Here is a 17,893-nt window from a genome sequence, read left to right as displayed (position 1 = left end):
CTGGCTGATGGGATCATTTATATCCCAAACCTCAGCATCACACAATATACTCATGTAACAAACCTGTACGTGCACCTCCTGAATTTAAAATAACAGTAGACATTATTTTTTAAAATGAAATCGATGTCTCAAGAGCCACATTGAAGTGGATTTACCACAGAAGTTCTCAGCTTAGGGAGAAGTTCACCACTCCTGCCCACCACCCAAGATAAGGGTGTTCACCTTGCCACACGAGTCCAGGTTCTCTATGGAACACTGGAACAATTAATGCATTCCTAACACAATGGGAGGTGAGCGCTCTGGACTACAAAGTGACTACAAAACACCATCAAATAAACCAAGTGCATAGGTGTGCCAGTGGCCCCCAACTCATAGACATCATTATTCAGATTAACAAACGCCAAGAACAAAAATAAGTCACAATATTTACCAGAAATTATGAAGTCATCTTTACCCCAATACTTTCACTCATAGGGTTAAGGCATTTAATACAGACTGAACACCTGAACATTAGTATGTGCATGGAGAAAAAATAATTAAAGAATGTGCACCTAAATCTAACCAATATTTTCTCTGGAGAGTGGCTTTTGAGTAGAAAGTTGCATTCTATGCTACCTATCTGTAACATTTATTTGTTTGCAATATTTACATTATGTTAATAATTAAAAATATATATACTAGGTCCCATGTCCAGTGAGAATATTCACATATTCAGTAGTTGGGGAACAGTACACTGTTTCTGTTTTACTTATCCCCATGAGTGATTATAATTCTAACAGTCCCAATTGGGGAAGTTAAATGTCCACTGAGTGTTCAGAATTCTCAGGTAAAAAAGCCACTGCAAGTGAACACCCAGGCAAGTTCAGAGGGCTGGGAGAAGCGCATGCATTTCAAGGCCAGTGGGGATAGTGAAGGTGGGGCAGGTGCCGAGATCAGCCTCAGCCAAACCAATGGCAGAGCATCTGCCCCCCAGCAGCCGGCACAGAGGCTGGGGAGCCAGTTCTACAAGGATGGTTTTTGCCAATCTCCCCATTCCTGCCAGGGCATGGGAAGTTGGAATAAAGTGTGTGTGCTTAGAACAGTGACCAGCACAGGGCAGAGTCCACAAAAGTTTGCTAAATGAATATATGAAAAGGAAGGGGGAGGAAGGGAGAGAAGAAAGAAGGAAGGAGGGAAGGGAAAGTATTTAAGAACGAAAAAGGTGGGAAAAATTGGGGAATACCTAAATTCTGCTCAACATATAAAGGATCAAATTTACTTTATAACCAGATTCCTACATGATTTTAATAATAAATTTTTAATGTAATTACCTTTTATTTCCTTTTCAGGACTTACAGAGCTTGATAGTTTCTAATTCAAGACGTAGACAGAACAAGAATGCTGCTCTGGATGTCCAATTTGGAGATTTCTAAAAGGAAAAAGACGCAGATTAAAAATTATGCTGGAGAATAAAAGTGATTAAAAGGTATCATTCAAAAGAAATTGTTTTTCCTTGAATCACAGACATTGTATTTATCTAAGGATAAACTAGGTTCAAAGCCTGTTTCTAATTCAGCTGCTCCAGGAAACTAAAACTGATTCCAAAAGGAAACAAAAATCAAAGTATGAGGCCAACTTCATGTATTCAATGGAAAACAAACTAAATGAGAGCCTGTGTATTTCCATGAGCCTGGGGAACCCCGGCTTTGCACTGCTTCATACTCAACATCCCAGAAAGGACATGTCACTCCTTCTAACTCACAGAATCATGCAGAAAATGATGGAGCCTCCTCATAAACAACTGCAAAACTGGCTAGGAAAACAGCTACACTGTCCTCCAGAAACATCGTTAATATTTGCAAAGGGAGAAGATATCACAAGACAGGTCTAGTAGCTCCTTCTGTCCTCCAAATGCAGTTCAGACCCAAGGTCACGAACAAACACATGTTTCCGCTGGTCCTGGACTTCTTTTTCCTGGATTGAGGACAGATCTTGATGGCCTCAATAGTCCCAAATTTCAAGTACAAACTATTTCATTATCAGCAAAAATTAACATCGACTGGACCGAGAAATGACTCCTTTTTACAAACGGGGAAAGAAACGGAGACTCCTGGAGGAAAGCTGCTTCTGCTGGACATGTTCTGCTTTCGCTGCACTTGGAGATACTGGGACGAGTCATGAAAGTGATGGTTATCGGGACAGCTGGCAATGCTAAAGAAAATACTGTGTTGAAAATCTTAACCGTCTTCTCCTCCAGCATCTGCTTTTGTCAGATACCATCAGTCCAAATGACTGCGTCTTTGTTTACTCAAAAGCAGGAGCCAACAGACAGGGAAGGAAGTGTCCTGTCTGCAATAGATATCTTCTTTATTGAGATTTACTGTATATTTTGCAGGTTTATAGGAGGAACCAAGAGAAAAATATTTTAAGGAGGCACTTGGGACTCCAACAGATAATGGCTAAAAAACTACTTCATTAAGATCTATGCCAGCGTCCTCAGCACTATCATCGCCTTTCTGGAGAGATGTGTAATGAATGATACACTAAACATGTATTAGGAAGGCTGTAAATCCTGACCTAGATTTTCTATCGCTTCAAAACAATACAAAGAGCCTGAAAATGCCCATTTAAATAACAACTAAGATTGATACTTTCCACTCACTTTCAAAACTTTCAAAACAGCCTACTTTCTCCTGTCCCATTACCTAACAAGGTTCAACAAGAACACAGAGTAAATTAGTATTAGATTAAAATAGAAATATAAACTCCAAGTCCCATGGTTCTTTTTATTGCTTTAATACCTGAAATTTAAGATAGTATTTTATTTGCTTGCTGAAGTATATGGGATTTCCAGCAACTCAAATTAATGAAATCATGTGCTGTTATTATGTTAGAGAAATATTGATTTAAAATATATTTGGGCCCATATTAATTTGATTGTGACCCATATAACAAAGCAAAAGGTTCTGTATTTTAATATTTTGCAACCAATACTTTTATTTTGGCCAAAAATTATATCTAAAATCCCTGTTCATTTTTCTCATGATTTTTGCCTTATCCTTCTCACACTTTTGAAGGGAGAAAATAGCAAAGAGCTGAACACTTACTAGAATGAATTCACAGATAGAAAAGTCACTCAACTGTGATTAAGACAGGGAGTAATACCACATATGGAGAACTTCAAGATTGGATTTATCTTCAAAGTTGCCATGTGAAATCAAAACGATCCTAATACAAATAACTCATAGCACAGATGCTTGAAACTTAGGGATCATACGGTCATCTGCTCCAGTTGACTCATTTCACAGATGAGAAAAAGAAAGCCCAGAGTGGTTAAGTGACCACTTCAAAGTCACACAGCTAAGCCAGCTCCAGATTCCCAGGTTTTCTAGGTGTAAATCCAGTGCTCTATTAGATCATAGCGGATCTTTAATTTCCTAAATAACCTCTTAAGAGATTACAATTTCATCTATTTTAGTGTAAAACAAAAAAAAAATCATTTCTAATCAGCATGATTACAACATCACGAGTCAACTCAACTTTCTGTCAATATAACCCACTGTTAAAAGTTATCAAGGGCATACGCTGCCTTTTGTCCCACTGATAAAGCTAGATTAAAATATGAATGCCCATGAGAAATCCAAAATGAAATTTGGGATATTCTTAGGTTGTCTAACCTAGATAAATTTAATACAAAAAGAGTATATAGTTTCCCTGTCTTATTCATAGTCAGATCATAATCATAGGTTTGCTGCAACACATTTTCAAGTCGATTTATAGAGTCTCTCAAGCAAAACATAGGTGTTCTATACACAAAGCTCACATAAGCAGTTTTGAAAGTAGAATTTCAAAATGATTTAGTATTAGTTCTATCAGTTCAGACTGAATTCGTATTCACTGAAACCCTAGAATCACTGCAGAGCACTTGGGTCACCCAGGTCAGCAGCTTATTAACAACAGTCATGTGTTGACTCTCCCATTATTTATTGCTGCACAGTGCTAGGTGCATGAGAACCGAAAAGCACCAGATGGTGTCCTGCCCACTGTGGGCTGATGATGGAGGTCACCAAGGAAGGCCTTCAGAGCAGCACTGGAGTTAAGGTTTGCATGGGATGAGAGTGTAACTGTGAGTGTGTCTTTAGATGGGTAGTTAGTAAATCCACATGCGGTTTTCCTGGGGAATGTGAACTGACAGATTCCGCAGAAATAAAGAGTATGTGCAAGGAAGCAAGGTAAGATAAATGAAATCTGGCCAACAGATGACAGAAGAACTCCTCTACGCATGCCCAAAAAAGCACACATGCACACACATGGTCAGGAAACAAAACATCCAATAAGAAATACTCCTTTCTAGAAACCGTGAAAGCAACAAAATATTTTCCTTATATTTCTTTTTATAAACTCACTATTGATATTAAGACTAAGTGCCAAACAACCATATTAAGGGGGGAAAAAGGACAAGATGTCCATTCCAACACATTTCAATAAAGAAAATAGAGATGCCAAGTAAACACAGGAAGAGATCTTCAACATAATTAATCAGGGAAATGCAAAACAAAACCTTAATGAGATACCACTACATACCAAATAAGATGGCTAATTTTAAAAGGTTTCAAAATATCAAGTGTTAACCAGGCGCAGTGGCTCACGCCTGTAATCCAAGCACTTTGGGAGGCCGAGGTGGGCGGGATCACCTGAGGTTAGCAGTTCAAGACCAGCCTGGCTGACACGGTGAAACCCCGTCTCTACTAAAAATACAAAAAATTAGCCAGGCGTGGTGGCAGGCGCCTGTAATCCCAGCTACTTGGGAGGCTGACGCAGCAGAATCACTTGAACCCAGGAGGTGGAGGCTGCAGTGAGCCGAGACCGCAGCACTGCACTCCAGCCTGGGCAACAAGAGCAAAACTCCATCTCGAAAAGAAAATATAAAGTGTTTATAAGGATATGAAACAACTTGGTTCTCCTACAATGATTGTTGGAAATTCAAAATGTTACAAGCACTTTGAAAACTAATTTGGCAGTTGCTTATAAAGTTAAGCACGTACGATATGACCCAGCAATGCTACTACTAAGTATATACCCAGGACAAAATTTAAACACAGAGATTCCACACAAAGATTTGCACAAGAATGTTCACAGCAGCCTTATTCATAATAACTCCAAACTTGAAAGAATCCAAACGTCCATCATCTGGTGAATGGATCAACAATTTGTGGTATACCACACGAAGGAATACTACTCAGTAATAAAAAGGAAATAATTACTGATATATACAACAACGTAAAGCAATTTCAAGAGGATTATACTATGGAAAAGAAGCCAAACACAAAAGACTACACGTATGATCGCATTTATATGAAATTTTAGAGAAAGGCAAACTGGAGCAATAGAAAGCACATCAATGATTGGCACAGTCACAGTGTGGGGGAAGGGACTGACTGCAAAGACGCCCGACAGAACACGCAGGGTGATGGAGATGTTCTATTTCAAGATTGTGGTAGTGGGTGCATAACTGCCATATTTGCGAAAATACATTAAACCATACACTTAAAATCAGTAAATTTAGTTATATATACATTGTAACTCACAAAAGTGCTTTAAAAAAAAAAAACTCAGTGTTCCCATCTTTTAATATTCACGAACTTCCTCAATCAGCCCTGGGACTCCTTCAGTGGATGGTACTCAACATCTTCAAATACTTAATAAGGATTATAGCAATCAATGATGGCTAAGTATCTGGAGACCACAAAAAAGAAAAACCAATAATCAACAATACTGCTTATAAGGAAACTAAATTATTCCATTGTTCTACAACTTCTAATAAGTTGTGACCTTACAATAGATTTCCAAAATGTATTCTAATCCTATTTAGTCTACAATAAATTTCTTCAATGTAAAGGGATAAACTTTCTAAAACTCTTGATAATCCATGGAGAGTGACATACAGGAGAGGGAAGATGTAGCCTAAGGTCCCTGGGTTTTTGGGTAAACACTGTGAAAGACTACCCACTTGTCCCTGTTGCACCTTGAGTTCGTGTTCTTTTAAAAAGAAGAAACTCAGCCCCAGAAAAACAAAAAACAGTTGGATCCAGGGATGTCAGAGTTGGAGATAAACTTTGACAAACTCTCCTCATCACCATACTAAAAACCCTGCCTGAGGAGGAATTTATTTGCAATTTTCTATACATGTGACCTATGTAGAAGCATGACCATATGTAGAAGTTTGATTGTATGTAGAAGATTGATAATATGTAGAAACATGACCAGAAGCTGCATCTGCACTACCTTTACCTCTTCATACAATGATAGCTAACCAGCCTAATGAAAGCGCTGTTTTCACCATAGTTAGGGAAGGCACTGCTCTGGGAACTATCCTGGTGTCCATACTTCTTGCAAGTAATACAATCCCCTTGTTAAATCCAGTTGTGGTCACGGGACTTTCACACACCAAGAAATTGAACCCACCCATAAGACAGGCTTATCAAAGTGATTACAGATGATTCAAGGTTGATAATGACTAAAATGATATACAATAGAATCACGATTCCAAATGTGCTAAGCTAGAACAATTTCATAGTACTAATATCAAGTGCAGATCAAAATAATAATCAAACTACATTTATTCAACACATATTTCCTGATGGGCTGGCATGTGTTAGTCACTATACTAGATGGAAAAGGACACCAAGATTAAGTAAAAAAGAGTCCTTGCCCTTACAAAGTTCATCATCCAAAAAAGGTAAGTAATGCAATTCACAGTAGAAGCTCAAACTATTTTATGTGAAAAAAGCCTGCAAGTTTGAGTTTATCACTCAGCTGTTAGCTATGGCAGAAATACTAGAGAAATTATAGGGTGCACTATCAGAAGCATTGAGTTCAGTACAAATATATACAAGCACTACCCTGTACTCAATGGGTCAACCCATGTAGCAGGGGTAAAGGGGATGTTCTATTATGTTGTGAATGTGCTCATTACAAGCCCTCTTCTAAAGCCCAGCTGAAGGTGCCAGAATCTTGTATAGTGTTGCTAACCCCCACTACTAAGTCCCTAAGATGATGCATGAGTCTGGAAAGACCATGGACCTCCTGCACAATCCAAGTTGATAAGATCTAGCAGATCCTGAGAAACTGAGGCATGGGTGGATAGGACATGGACCTAAAAATATTTACATCAACTAGGGAAGTGCCTGTCATGTGGAGGAAGAGACATCATTCTGAGTAGCAGAAGTTATAGAGAGGTTATACAGCTCATGATAAGAACATCCTGGCAATTGAACAATCTCAAATCTGAATGGACTGCCTGCTAAGGTAGGGACACCTGGCAGCAGCTACAAATTTAGTAATACTCTCATCCTAAATTAATCTCAGTGTGACATTCAGGTCATTACCATCACCTCACAACCTGTCTCCCAACACCAGCCTTTCAGCAAAATTAATCTTTCTCATATCCAGTTGTGACCATGCCCTCCTGCCCTCATGCCTGTAATTTTTACACTTTCACTGCTCCTCATCACCTACAAGATCAAGGCCAAACATTTCTCAGGATGGCAGACAAGGTTGCTATGGATGGAGTCTCATCTACCAATGTCCCCATTTGCTGTGTTCCAGCTATTCAGAGGCACTACAGCACCCTCTCATCAGGCCATGCTTCTTCTTGCCTTCCCACTGTGCACATGCTACCCACTGTCTGAAATAATACCCCTGTCTCCTGCTGTGAGTCTGGAGACTTTCGGCCCATGCCCCCCTAGTTCAGACAGTGCTGCCTTTGAGAAACATTCCCTTGACCTCCCTGAGCTTTGACCACTTCTCCCCTTCATGCCCATGGTGCCTTGCTCATCTCCACAAAAACATTTGCCCCAGATATAAAGGTTAGTTATAGCTGTATCTCGTCACTAAACCACAAACCCCTGCCTGGTTATCTTAATCACTGGGATGTGGCCCAGGATGTGACACTTCATAGATATTTTTGAATGAGTGGGATTCCAAGATAGTAAATTAGCCATGTTGTTTATGTCCTGTCTGCAGTGTATCAACGTGGGTTATGCAGCAGATATAGTGTAAGCCCAGGCAAATACCATTATTATAAGTCTACAGAAGATAGAAGGTGAGCATCTCTCTAAAGGATCCAGGCTGCCTTAAGTTGGGATATAACATAAGAACCAAAATGATTAGCTAATATACTCTCTTTGGCATTCTGAAATCAACTGAGTTCAAAGCCTGCCTCCATGGCACTATGTGACCTTGAGCAACTAACTTAACCTCCTGGTCTGTAAAAAGGTAATTATAGCCCCTTCCTGCAAGGGTCACTGTGAGAATCAAATAACAATTTATTATAAAAAAGTGGGCAAAGGAATAGGCACAGGGCACACACTCACTCAATGCTGGCTGACTGTTCAGCAGCAGCACTGAGTAAGGCAGAGTTGTGTTAAGTCCTGGCCACTATTATTCATAACGTACCTTGGACAAATCAAGTTAGGCAATTCATTTTTTCATCAACAAATAGAAATAATGCCTACTTTGGAGGAATGTATGTCAACAAAATAATATATGTAAAAATGCCAGGCACAGAAGAGTCACTTAATAAAGTTCTTTCTATCTCCCTTTTTGGTTATGGATCATTGATTTCCCAACAATTGGAAAATTTTCCTTTTCTTTCCAAAAAAAGGCAGGCTTATACAATTAGAGACATCTCTCTGAGGTTCAAACTAGTAAGACCAAAATCCCCTCTCTATAATGCTCCTCACATGCTATGGAAAAAGACAACTTAAAAAGCCTTTTATGTATTCTAATTATTTATTTTTATTTGGACCGAGTTGAAACAGATCCGTATATTTCTCTGGGTTTTACAAAAAAAAAAAAAAAGCACAGTGAAAGTTTCATTAAATTTACTCAAATGTAGCCCATCACTTTTGTTCATTGATTCTCTATAAACAATAACATTTAGCAAATCCATATATGGTCAAAGAAATGTTAAGCCAAGATAGAAATTCTGGAAAATGCCATGATGGAAAAATCTGTAAGTGCTTAGTACAATGTCAGTGTCACAAAATCTTTTTAAGGATAAATATACTTGGTTGCAAATTAAAGATAAATACACCTGGTGGCAAAGAATACAGCTTTTTAAAAAGAGTGCTACACAGCTCACAGTTTCATTTTTAACACTCCTAAAAATGGTACTCAGACACGGCTTAGTATACAAATACATGTTTTCAAAGCTAGCACATTACTGACTGGATATGATCTAATTAATAATGTTGTCATTTTCCACGATTTCAATGATTTTGAGTCAATAGCTGGAAATCCTAACTCATCTAGAAAAGAAGAATACAATAACAAAGCAAACACAGAGTTTATAGTAAAGTTCCCAGCCAACATGTGAGCAGCAGCTAGATGGGACTACTATTTAGATCCCCATGTATGAATGTAAACAAGGGTAACTCTGATATGTTCTGTGGGACTACCATGCTATTCTAGGCAGGAGAGAATGGTAGGGCCACCTTCCTTAAAAACGTTTGAACTTGTGCAGGACCTGAGATTCATGAGTCCAAAACTATATTGAAAAATATTTACTTTTTCATTAGCCCAGTTTTTCCAAAGTCACTGTACTTTTTTGTCCAGCAGAAACTGTTGCAAAAAAACATGTATTTTGTAGCTGCTCAGTTTTACATGCAAAATCCTTTATTAGCTGACATCATAAAAAATACTTATTTAAAGTAAAAACATAGGGGTAAGGAACTCACAAAAACCTAAAGTAGAAAGCACTTCTCTTATCTGGAGGCTGATCTTTTAAATTATTATTTTTAAATGACTATCTATTAAATCACTCACTGTGTTGCTTGAAAAATAAAAATAAAAATAAAAATTATGTAATAGTACTTAAGTAACCCTAGAATACCATGCCAAGAAATTAAGTCAACAAATTTGTTTTCCACTATGATTATAAACTGGCAGTTTTCCATCCTTCCAAGTATTAGAGAGTTCTGATGAAGTTTATCTCTCTTTAAATTTTTTTTCCTTAAAAAATTAGTCTCCACAATATATTCAACATCAGATGCAGGGACTCTAAGTCTCATATAATCTGTTTGAAAGACACACAGGCTGCTGGGGTTCATCACCTGCGAGGGCAGGGCTTTCCCACACTGTTTTTCTGCCCCTGGAGAGACTAATCACTGTCTAACAACCCCCTGGGTTTGGGCTTTCTTGTCTAGAAGTATAATTGGAGCCTTCTTCAAGTGCTTTCCAGAGCAGGTGGCAATGATTTCAGGCCAAAGAATTTCTACTTTTGGCCTTCCCTAAGAAAAGCTATTCATCTCCTTAATAAGCAAGTGTAGAACAATGCCAATATCAATACTCATGTTTTCTGCTGTTCTACAAAAATTAAGCATAATGTTAGTAAAACCAAACAGAATCCACTGGATACTTTTTTTAAAGGCTGAAATATAAATTTTATTGAGACATCATGTTTTATATTATTAAATTTTTAAAACTGAGGTAAAATGTATATAATGTAAAATTGACCATCTTAACCATTTTTAAGTATACAGTTCAGTGGAGTAAGTACTATCACACTATTGTACAACCATCGCCACCACCCATCTCCAGAATTCTTTCATCTTGCAAAACTGAAACTCTGTACCCCCATTCACCCCTACTTCTTCCTGCCTACAGCCCCTGGAAACCACTATTGTACTTTCTGTCACCACTGACTACTCTAGGTACTTTGTGTAAGTGGAATTATGCAGCATTTGTCCTTCTGTGACTGGGTTATTTTGCTTAGCATAATGCCCACATGGTTCGTCCATGGTGTAGGACTTCTTAACTTCTCATGTCAAGGGACATTTAGCTTTCAGAATAGAAGCACAGAGTTCGGTCTTTCTCACCAGTAAAGCTCTTGTGCATGAACAGGCTAAATACAAATCACTGTGTTTATGAAAGTGAGAGCCTGACTACACTACTAGCAGGATTCAGAGAGACTAGCACCAACAGCACCCCAGAATGCTGCTCACAGCTCAGCTCCCTTCTTACTTGTGCACCCCAGAAACTCTCAACACTGGCTCCCCAGCAAGTGGAATGCTAGAGCCAGGCCATAGAGTATGTGTGTAAAACAATTAGGGTAAGGTTTCACCGCAGATTGAACTTTCCATATTTAATGTCTGCTATATGCTCTCTAGAACTTCAAGGAAATTCATGTTAATGTTGTTAAATGTATTATCATTTAGTAGTCAGAATAAACCAGAGTAAAACTGAGATTCCAAGTTGGGGTTGGCTGCAAAATATACACCTTTAACCATTGTGCTATAAATGATACCTTGCTCATCCAAGTTGGTATTGGATAAAATAATACTGGTTGATCAACTTGGTTGAAGAAGGTAGCATTTATAGCACAGTGGTTAAAAGTGTATATTCTGTAGTCAACCCCAACTTAGAATCTCAGTGTTACTCTGGGTTGTTCTGACTACTAAATGACAATATATTTAACAACATTGATACAGTACATGAAACAGTAAATAATTACATTTAAACCATAAGTAGTAGTAATGCTAGGAATCGGTTCTGTGTATGTGTCTTTAACTTTTCATGTTTTCTGGCTTACATGTGATTGGGCAGTTCCATAACTGAAAAAGAGTGTCTCAGGGCAAGTCCTACAGAGCAATGCTTGGTTTTATTTATTTATTAATTTTTTTACTGCCTTTCAGATATCCTTTTTGGTTGGCAGGTATCAGTAACCAGTGGTGACCCAATAGAATAGCACAGATACCACAGATTTTTAAGTTGGATAAAAGAAAAATTAGAAGAATGTCACTTAACACATACAACTGGGCACTGATGGTCATCCAGTGCTTCCAACTGGTGAAACCCAATCAGCATCCGGGGGCAAGAGAACTCATTGACACTTTACACTTTGGGGCACTTGCTTTAAAAATGTATAGAAGATTTCTGTGTCTAATTAGAAGCACAAAAAAGCCTTCCATCCGATGGCAACAAAAAATTTTACCTGGACAAAATAAAAAGTTACTTTTCTATGGGCCTAGCAAAAAATAATAAATGCAAAGGAGCCTAAGGCCAGGAAGAAAGTAGCCTTTTCTGGGTGAGCTGAAAGCCATAGCAGCTTCCTTATCTGAGGACGCCTCGTCTAGATCAGGAGGAACAAGCCATCAGAGAGAGACTCGCAGTAATAAGGAGAGAAAGACAAGCCTCAGACAGTGGCATGCACTGGTGGGACAGATTGGATGCTAGAAGAACAAATGCAAAAACAAATTACTTTCCTAATAAGCCTTCTGATCTACCACCACCTTCCCCCAGCCTCCCAAATTAGACAAAAAAGCAACAGTGGAAATGTTAGAAGGCTGAGAGAAATCATGTAGCCCATATACTCTGATGATGCTTCATTCAATCTTTTAATCCAACAGGAAATCAAAGATCTAAAATTGTAGACCAACTTTCTCCCAGCTGAAATACTAACACGGACTTGTTTTTAAAAGGCTGATTAGGTGAACTCAACCTAATTAAAAGTGTAACTCCAACCTTAACTAAATGTTCAGGAATCTGAATATACAGCTCTTTAGCCTTATCTCCATTAAGAAGAGAGCTTGCACTCTTGAGAAATGAAACAAACAAATATTATTATTTTGTGTACACCTGGAATACAATTTAAAAATTTAAAACTGAAAATTTTTAAAATTTCAAAATACATTTAAAATGGGAAAATATTATCCATAAGTAAAAATAAACACAGTCAGTAAGAACAGAATCTCCAATGACTCACTTAGTGAGCTCACTAGTGAAGGACTTTAGAACAACTACGTCAAATATATTAAGGCGTTTACAGCAAATAAAAAAATCTAATAGAAGAGATGGAACATTTTCAGACAGAAATAAAAACCGTAAAATAGCACTAAATAAAATACAAGACTAAAATATAATATTTCAAATTAAAAATTTATTGAATGGCTTGCTAATTGGACTTTGTAGAAGGAAAAAAAACACACAAATTTACTAAATCATAGACAGAAAAGCAACTGGAAAAAAATTAAGTACAAGTGACTTGCAAGATAATACCAAACAATAAAATATACGGGCAATTAGAGGAGAGGAGAAAAGAGGGAAGGATAGGATTAAAAATATGTGAACAAATGTAGATGAAATGTACCAAATTTGGAAAAAAATCAACCAAGAAGCTCAGTGAACTCAAAGCAAATACAAAGAAAAACCCACCTAAGCATAATGGAGTCTAACTGCTGAAAATAAAACATAAATGAAAATAATTCTAAAAAGCAGTAACACAAAAAAGACACTATATACAAGGTAACAAAGATAATAATGATAGCCAACTTCTTTTTAGAAACAAGGGAGGCCATAATGGAACAACATATTTACAATGCTGCAAGAAAAAAAAGGAAGCTGTCAACCTAGAATACTACATACTCAGCAACAAAATGAAGGCAAATTCAAGAAGTTTTCGGCTAAATGAAAGCTAAGAAAGTTAATCACCAGCAGACCTACCCTATAATAAACAATAGAGAAAGTTCTTCAGGCTGAAGGGAAATAATACCAAATGGAAAAAATTTAGATCTCAGGAAGAAATGAAGCACACAAGAAATGGCAAATGTGTGGATTTATACATAAATATTTTTTCTTTTTTCTTTCTTTTCTTTTCTTTCTTTCTTTCTTTCCTTTTTTTTTTTTTTTTTTTTTTTTGAGACAGAGTCTCACTCTGTCGCCAGGCTGGAGTGCAGTGGTGTGATCTTGGCTCACTGCAACCTCCACCTCCCGGGTTCAAGAGATTCTCCTGTCTCAGCCTCCCGAGTAGCTGGAACTACAGGCATGTGCCACCACACCCAGCTAATGTTTATATTTTTTTTAGTGTAGATGGGGTTTCACCACGTTGGCCAGGATGGTCTCGATCTCTTGACCTTGTGATCTGCCCACCTTGGCCTCCCAAAGTGCTGGGATTACAGGCGTGAGCCACCGCGCCTGGCCTTTTCTTTTTTACATTTACAAAAAGATATTTGGCTGAAAAGTAAAAAATAATGTATTGTGAGGTGTACAACAAACATACAACTAAAATAGAGAACAGCACAAAGGACAGGAGGAGCGTAAAGGAAAATATACAGTTGTAAGATTCTTACATTTAATGTGAAGTGGTAAAATATTCATTCAATGTAGATGGTGATTCTCTATCTATCTATCTATCTATCTATCTATCTATCTATCTATCTATCTATTGTAATCCCTAGAGCAACCAGTAAAAAGTAAAACCAAACCTTGGCTAAAATGCAAAGGAGACAAAATAAAATGCGAAAAATTACTAGATTAAGCCAAAGTGAGGCAAGAAAGAAGGAACAAACAGATCAAACAAATAGAATACAAAAAATAGGGTAATAGACTTAAAAATCAACCGTATCAATGTCTAATATCATTGTAAATTACAATCAATGTAAATGGACTAAACCCCTCAGTTAAAAGGGAAAGTTTGTCAAGACTGAATAAAAAAAGCACTATCTAACTGTACACTATAAGAGACACATTTAAAGGATAAAGATGAGGTATACTAAAAATAAAGGAATGGAAAAAATATATACATATATATACCATGCAAACTCTATAATCATGAGAAAGCTGGTGTGGCTATTTCAATATCAGACAAAGTAAACTTTAAGACAAGAAGTATTTCCAAAGACAAGGAAAAGGCATTACATAATGATCAAAGAGTCAATTATTATAAAGACCTGAGAGTTCTAAATGTGCATGTACCTAATTATAGAACTTCAACTAAATGAAATAAAAGTTTATATAACTAAAGACAGAAACAGATAAATCTACAATCACAGGTGAAGATTTTTAGCACTCTGCACTCAATAATTGATAGAACAGGCAGAAAAAATTATAAGGATATTAAAAAATTAAATACATTTGTTTGAGCATTTAAAAACAACAATTAACTAAATTACACATTTTTTCACATTCTATAGCCCTGTGAAATACAAAAACAATAACATTTTTGGTTTTGGGGATAAAATGACCCAATACACGTGAAGAGCTTAAAACAGTACATTATGACATACAGAGCAATCCTTAACAACAAAACACTCTTTTGAATAATTCTTAGTAATTTTATTCTTCATGTTTTTCTCTAGTCCTGGGGAATCTCATGACATTATTACCAGTCTGGTCTTTGTGTTCAGGTATTTCTCAGCTTTTGATTCTAGTACCAGTATTAAATACCTCATTAGCACCTTTCAGCTACTCATTCACATGAAATATCAAATCAAACCAGATATCAAAAATCCAATTGTGTGTTGATTCCAAGATACTGAAGCTTGTGGATATCTTTCTTCACAATTTATTTTTTAGAGACTTTGAAAACATCTTCTAAGAGATTGAGGCTGTAATGTCACTCAGAATTTTCCAAACAAAAACATCTTTTGGACTTCATGCCCCTCAGCACATACAGAAAAGAAACTGCACACCCTCTTCCACAATTCCTCCACTCTCACTGATGTCAAGTTCAAGTTGAGAGCAAAGCTAAGCTCTCCACTTCACCAATAGTAAAGAGTACCTGAGGCCCTTCCCCTAGACATCAGTAAGTCTAGGGTGGAGGCCTGAAATCTTTATATAAAATATGTGCCTCCAGTGATTCTTATGAAGAACTGGTTCGCATCTTAACTCGACTTTCAGGTTTTCACACAGATGTAGCCCTGCTACTCACTGGCCACATCACCTTGGGCAAGTCAATTAATATCCCTCAGCCAGTCTCTTATCTATAAAATGCAGACTTATCTACCTTTCAGGGTTCAATGAAGCGGCATAATGCCTTAAGCCTTGTAAATGCTCAAATCTTTGTTGAGGAATGAGTAAGAAAACATGCATGATGGGCAAGAAACACATGCATCCAAGCTGCATGACTGAGAAGCACTAACTCCCTTACCTACCACACTAGCATCTCCAGTCCTGGCATCTCTCCCTAACTCAAACATTTCCCTAGGCACTGAAAAAGTAAACTGCTAAAGTTCTCCAGACTTGCTGTGCTGTTTCGAGCCTCAGTCTGTTCACTAAGTCTGTTCTATCTGCCTAGCATTTCCTTCCTAAATTTCTCCCCCTACTCCCTGCTTCCAGCCTACTCCTTCACCTGGCTAACATCTACCTTCTCTTAGAAGGCAGGCACATCTGATTCAGCTCAAATCTGACCTTCTTCAGGAAAGCTTTTCCTGGACACACTCCCTCCCTCATTCAGGCTGTGCCCATGCTGCTCATTGCACCAGCTTCTCTTGGGCCCTGGGCTTAGCCTTTTCTCTGGTGCATCATGAGCTCCTGGAGGGCACAGAACATGACAAACACAGACTGGAGCACTTCCTGGCATGAGGCAACACCACGAGGCAAACAGGATGAATACGTGGAGTTGGGTAGCTAGCCAAACTGAGACATTATGAAAGATCTTCCTTCAGGTTCTTGGCTGGCCAAAAATTTGACCTGCAACCAAGCAGCGCCAGGATAGGCTTAAGCTGGGGAGGAACTGAGCTCCCCGCTCCCACCAGCAGGTAGCATCAACTCTCCAGTCAAAGAGCTGAGCCAGAGCTTAGCCACATTGGGTGCTGGAGCCTCCAGGCTCTGTGCAGCCTCAATATGACTGCAACCCCAGCCACATCTGAGAATAACCTCCCGGGAGGCCCAAGCCAGAAGCTCCCTGCTAAGAAACTCCGAATCCCCACAGAATGTGAAGAGAGAAAATCTGTATTATTTGAGCCACTAAGTTTTGGCGTCATTTGTTATGCAACAATAGATAATACAAATTTTACTTCCACACCTGGCTCTCTTTGCCCAGTAAAATCATTTTCTAAAAGCATTTATTTCATAGATTTAAAAAATACCATCAAAGTGGCAATGAGAGCATGTGTTCCAGTTCCCTCTGGCCAAATCCACCAAAGAGACATCAGATTTCTCAGATGCTAAAACTGATTAAAAGATACTCTACATAGCTTTGTTTTCGTGAGGTATTAAGATTAAATGGGTCAAATATATAATTAAACCATATAAATAGAATGAGTTGAATGATACAGTTAGGAATAGTTAAATATTCCAAGAGTTAAATTTATTTCCAAATAGGACCTATTTTAATTATGTAATACTCATTTAACTGGATTTCACTTGAAATCCTCATGCCTTTTTTCTTTTTCTTTTTTTTTTTTTTTTGAGACAAAGTCTTGCTCTGTCACCCAGGCTGGAGTGCAGTGGCACAATCTCAGCTCACTGCAACCTCCACCTCCTGGATTCAAGCGATTGTCCTGCCTCAGCCTCCTGAGTAGCTGAGATTACAGGCACACACCACCACACCTGGCTAATTTTTTATTTTTAGTAGAGACGGGGTTTCATCATGTTAGCCAGGCTGGTCTCGAACTCCTGACCTCAAGTGATCTGCCTGCCTAGGCCTCTCAAAGTGCTGAGATTACAGGCATGAGTCACCATGCCCGGCCCCTCATGCCTTTTCAAGAACACGTTTTAGTTAACTGAGGGCACTTTTACTTAAGGACCTAAGACTAAATTTAGAAATTATCTTCACTGTATTCCTCCAAAATTAATCAATAGTATCTGTATCCATTTTTGTTGAAAAACAAATGTTCTGAGAGTATAAATTTAATGTCACCTTTTCTGAGAGTGTAAATTTAATGTCTTTTTTTTTTGAGACAGAGTTTTGCTCTGTCGTCCAGGCTGGAGTGCAGTGGCGCAATCTTGGCTCACTGCAACCTCCACCTCCAGGGTTCAAGCGATTGCCCTGCTTCAGCCTCCCGAGTAGCTGCGATAACAGGCATATGACACCATGCCCAGCTAATTTTTTGTATTTTTAGTAGAGACAGGGTTTCACCAGGTTGGTCAGGCTGGTCTCGAACTTCTGACCTCAAGTGATCCACCTGCCTTG

At 38.1% G+C, this 17,893-nt stretch overlaps 1 protein-coding gene across 4 annotated transcripts in view; it reads right to left on the bottom strand.

The window, feature by feature from the left end:
- The window catches only part of FAM110B (family with sequence similarity 110 member B), a 154,262-nt gene that overhangs the window by 115,771 nt on the left and 20,598 nt on the right, over nucleotides 1-17,893 (bottom strand). For 2 of the 4 annotated variants that reach the window (XM_047422400.1, XM_017013948.2), the window contains exons 1-2: nucleotides 1,742-2,146; nucleotides 1,311-1,408 (exon numbers count right to left, since the gene is read on the bottom strand). The gene's annotated coding sequence lies outside the window, so the exon portion shown is untranslated. Of the gene's footprint in view, nucleotides 1-1,310; nucleotides 1,409-1,741; nucleotides 2,147-17,893 lie in introns of those variants that run through there. The other 2 variants (NM_147189.4, NM_001377989.1) reach the window with 1 other exon arrangement.

Source organism: Homo sapiens, chromosome 8 (genome assembly GCF_000001405.40).
Source record: "Homo sapiens chromosome 8, GRCh38.p14 Primary Assembly".
Lineage (NCBI taxonomy): Eukaryota > Metazoa > Chordata > Mammalia > Primates > Hominidae > Homo > Homo sapiens.
Note: the sequence above shows the minus strand (reverse complement) of the source record. Positions and strands in the feature narration are given on the sequence as shown.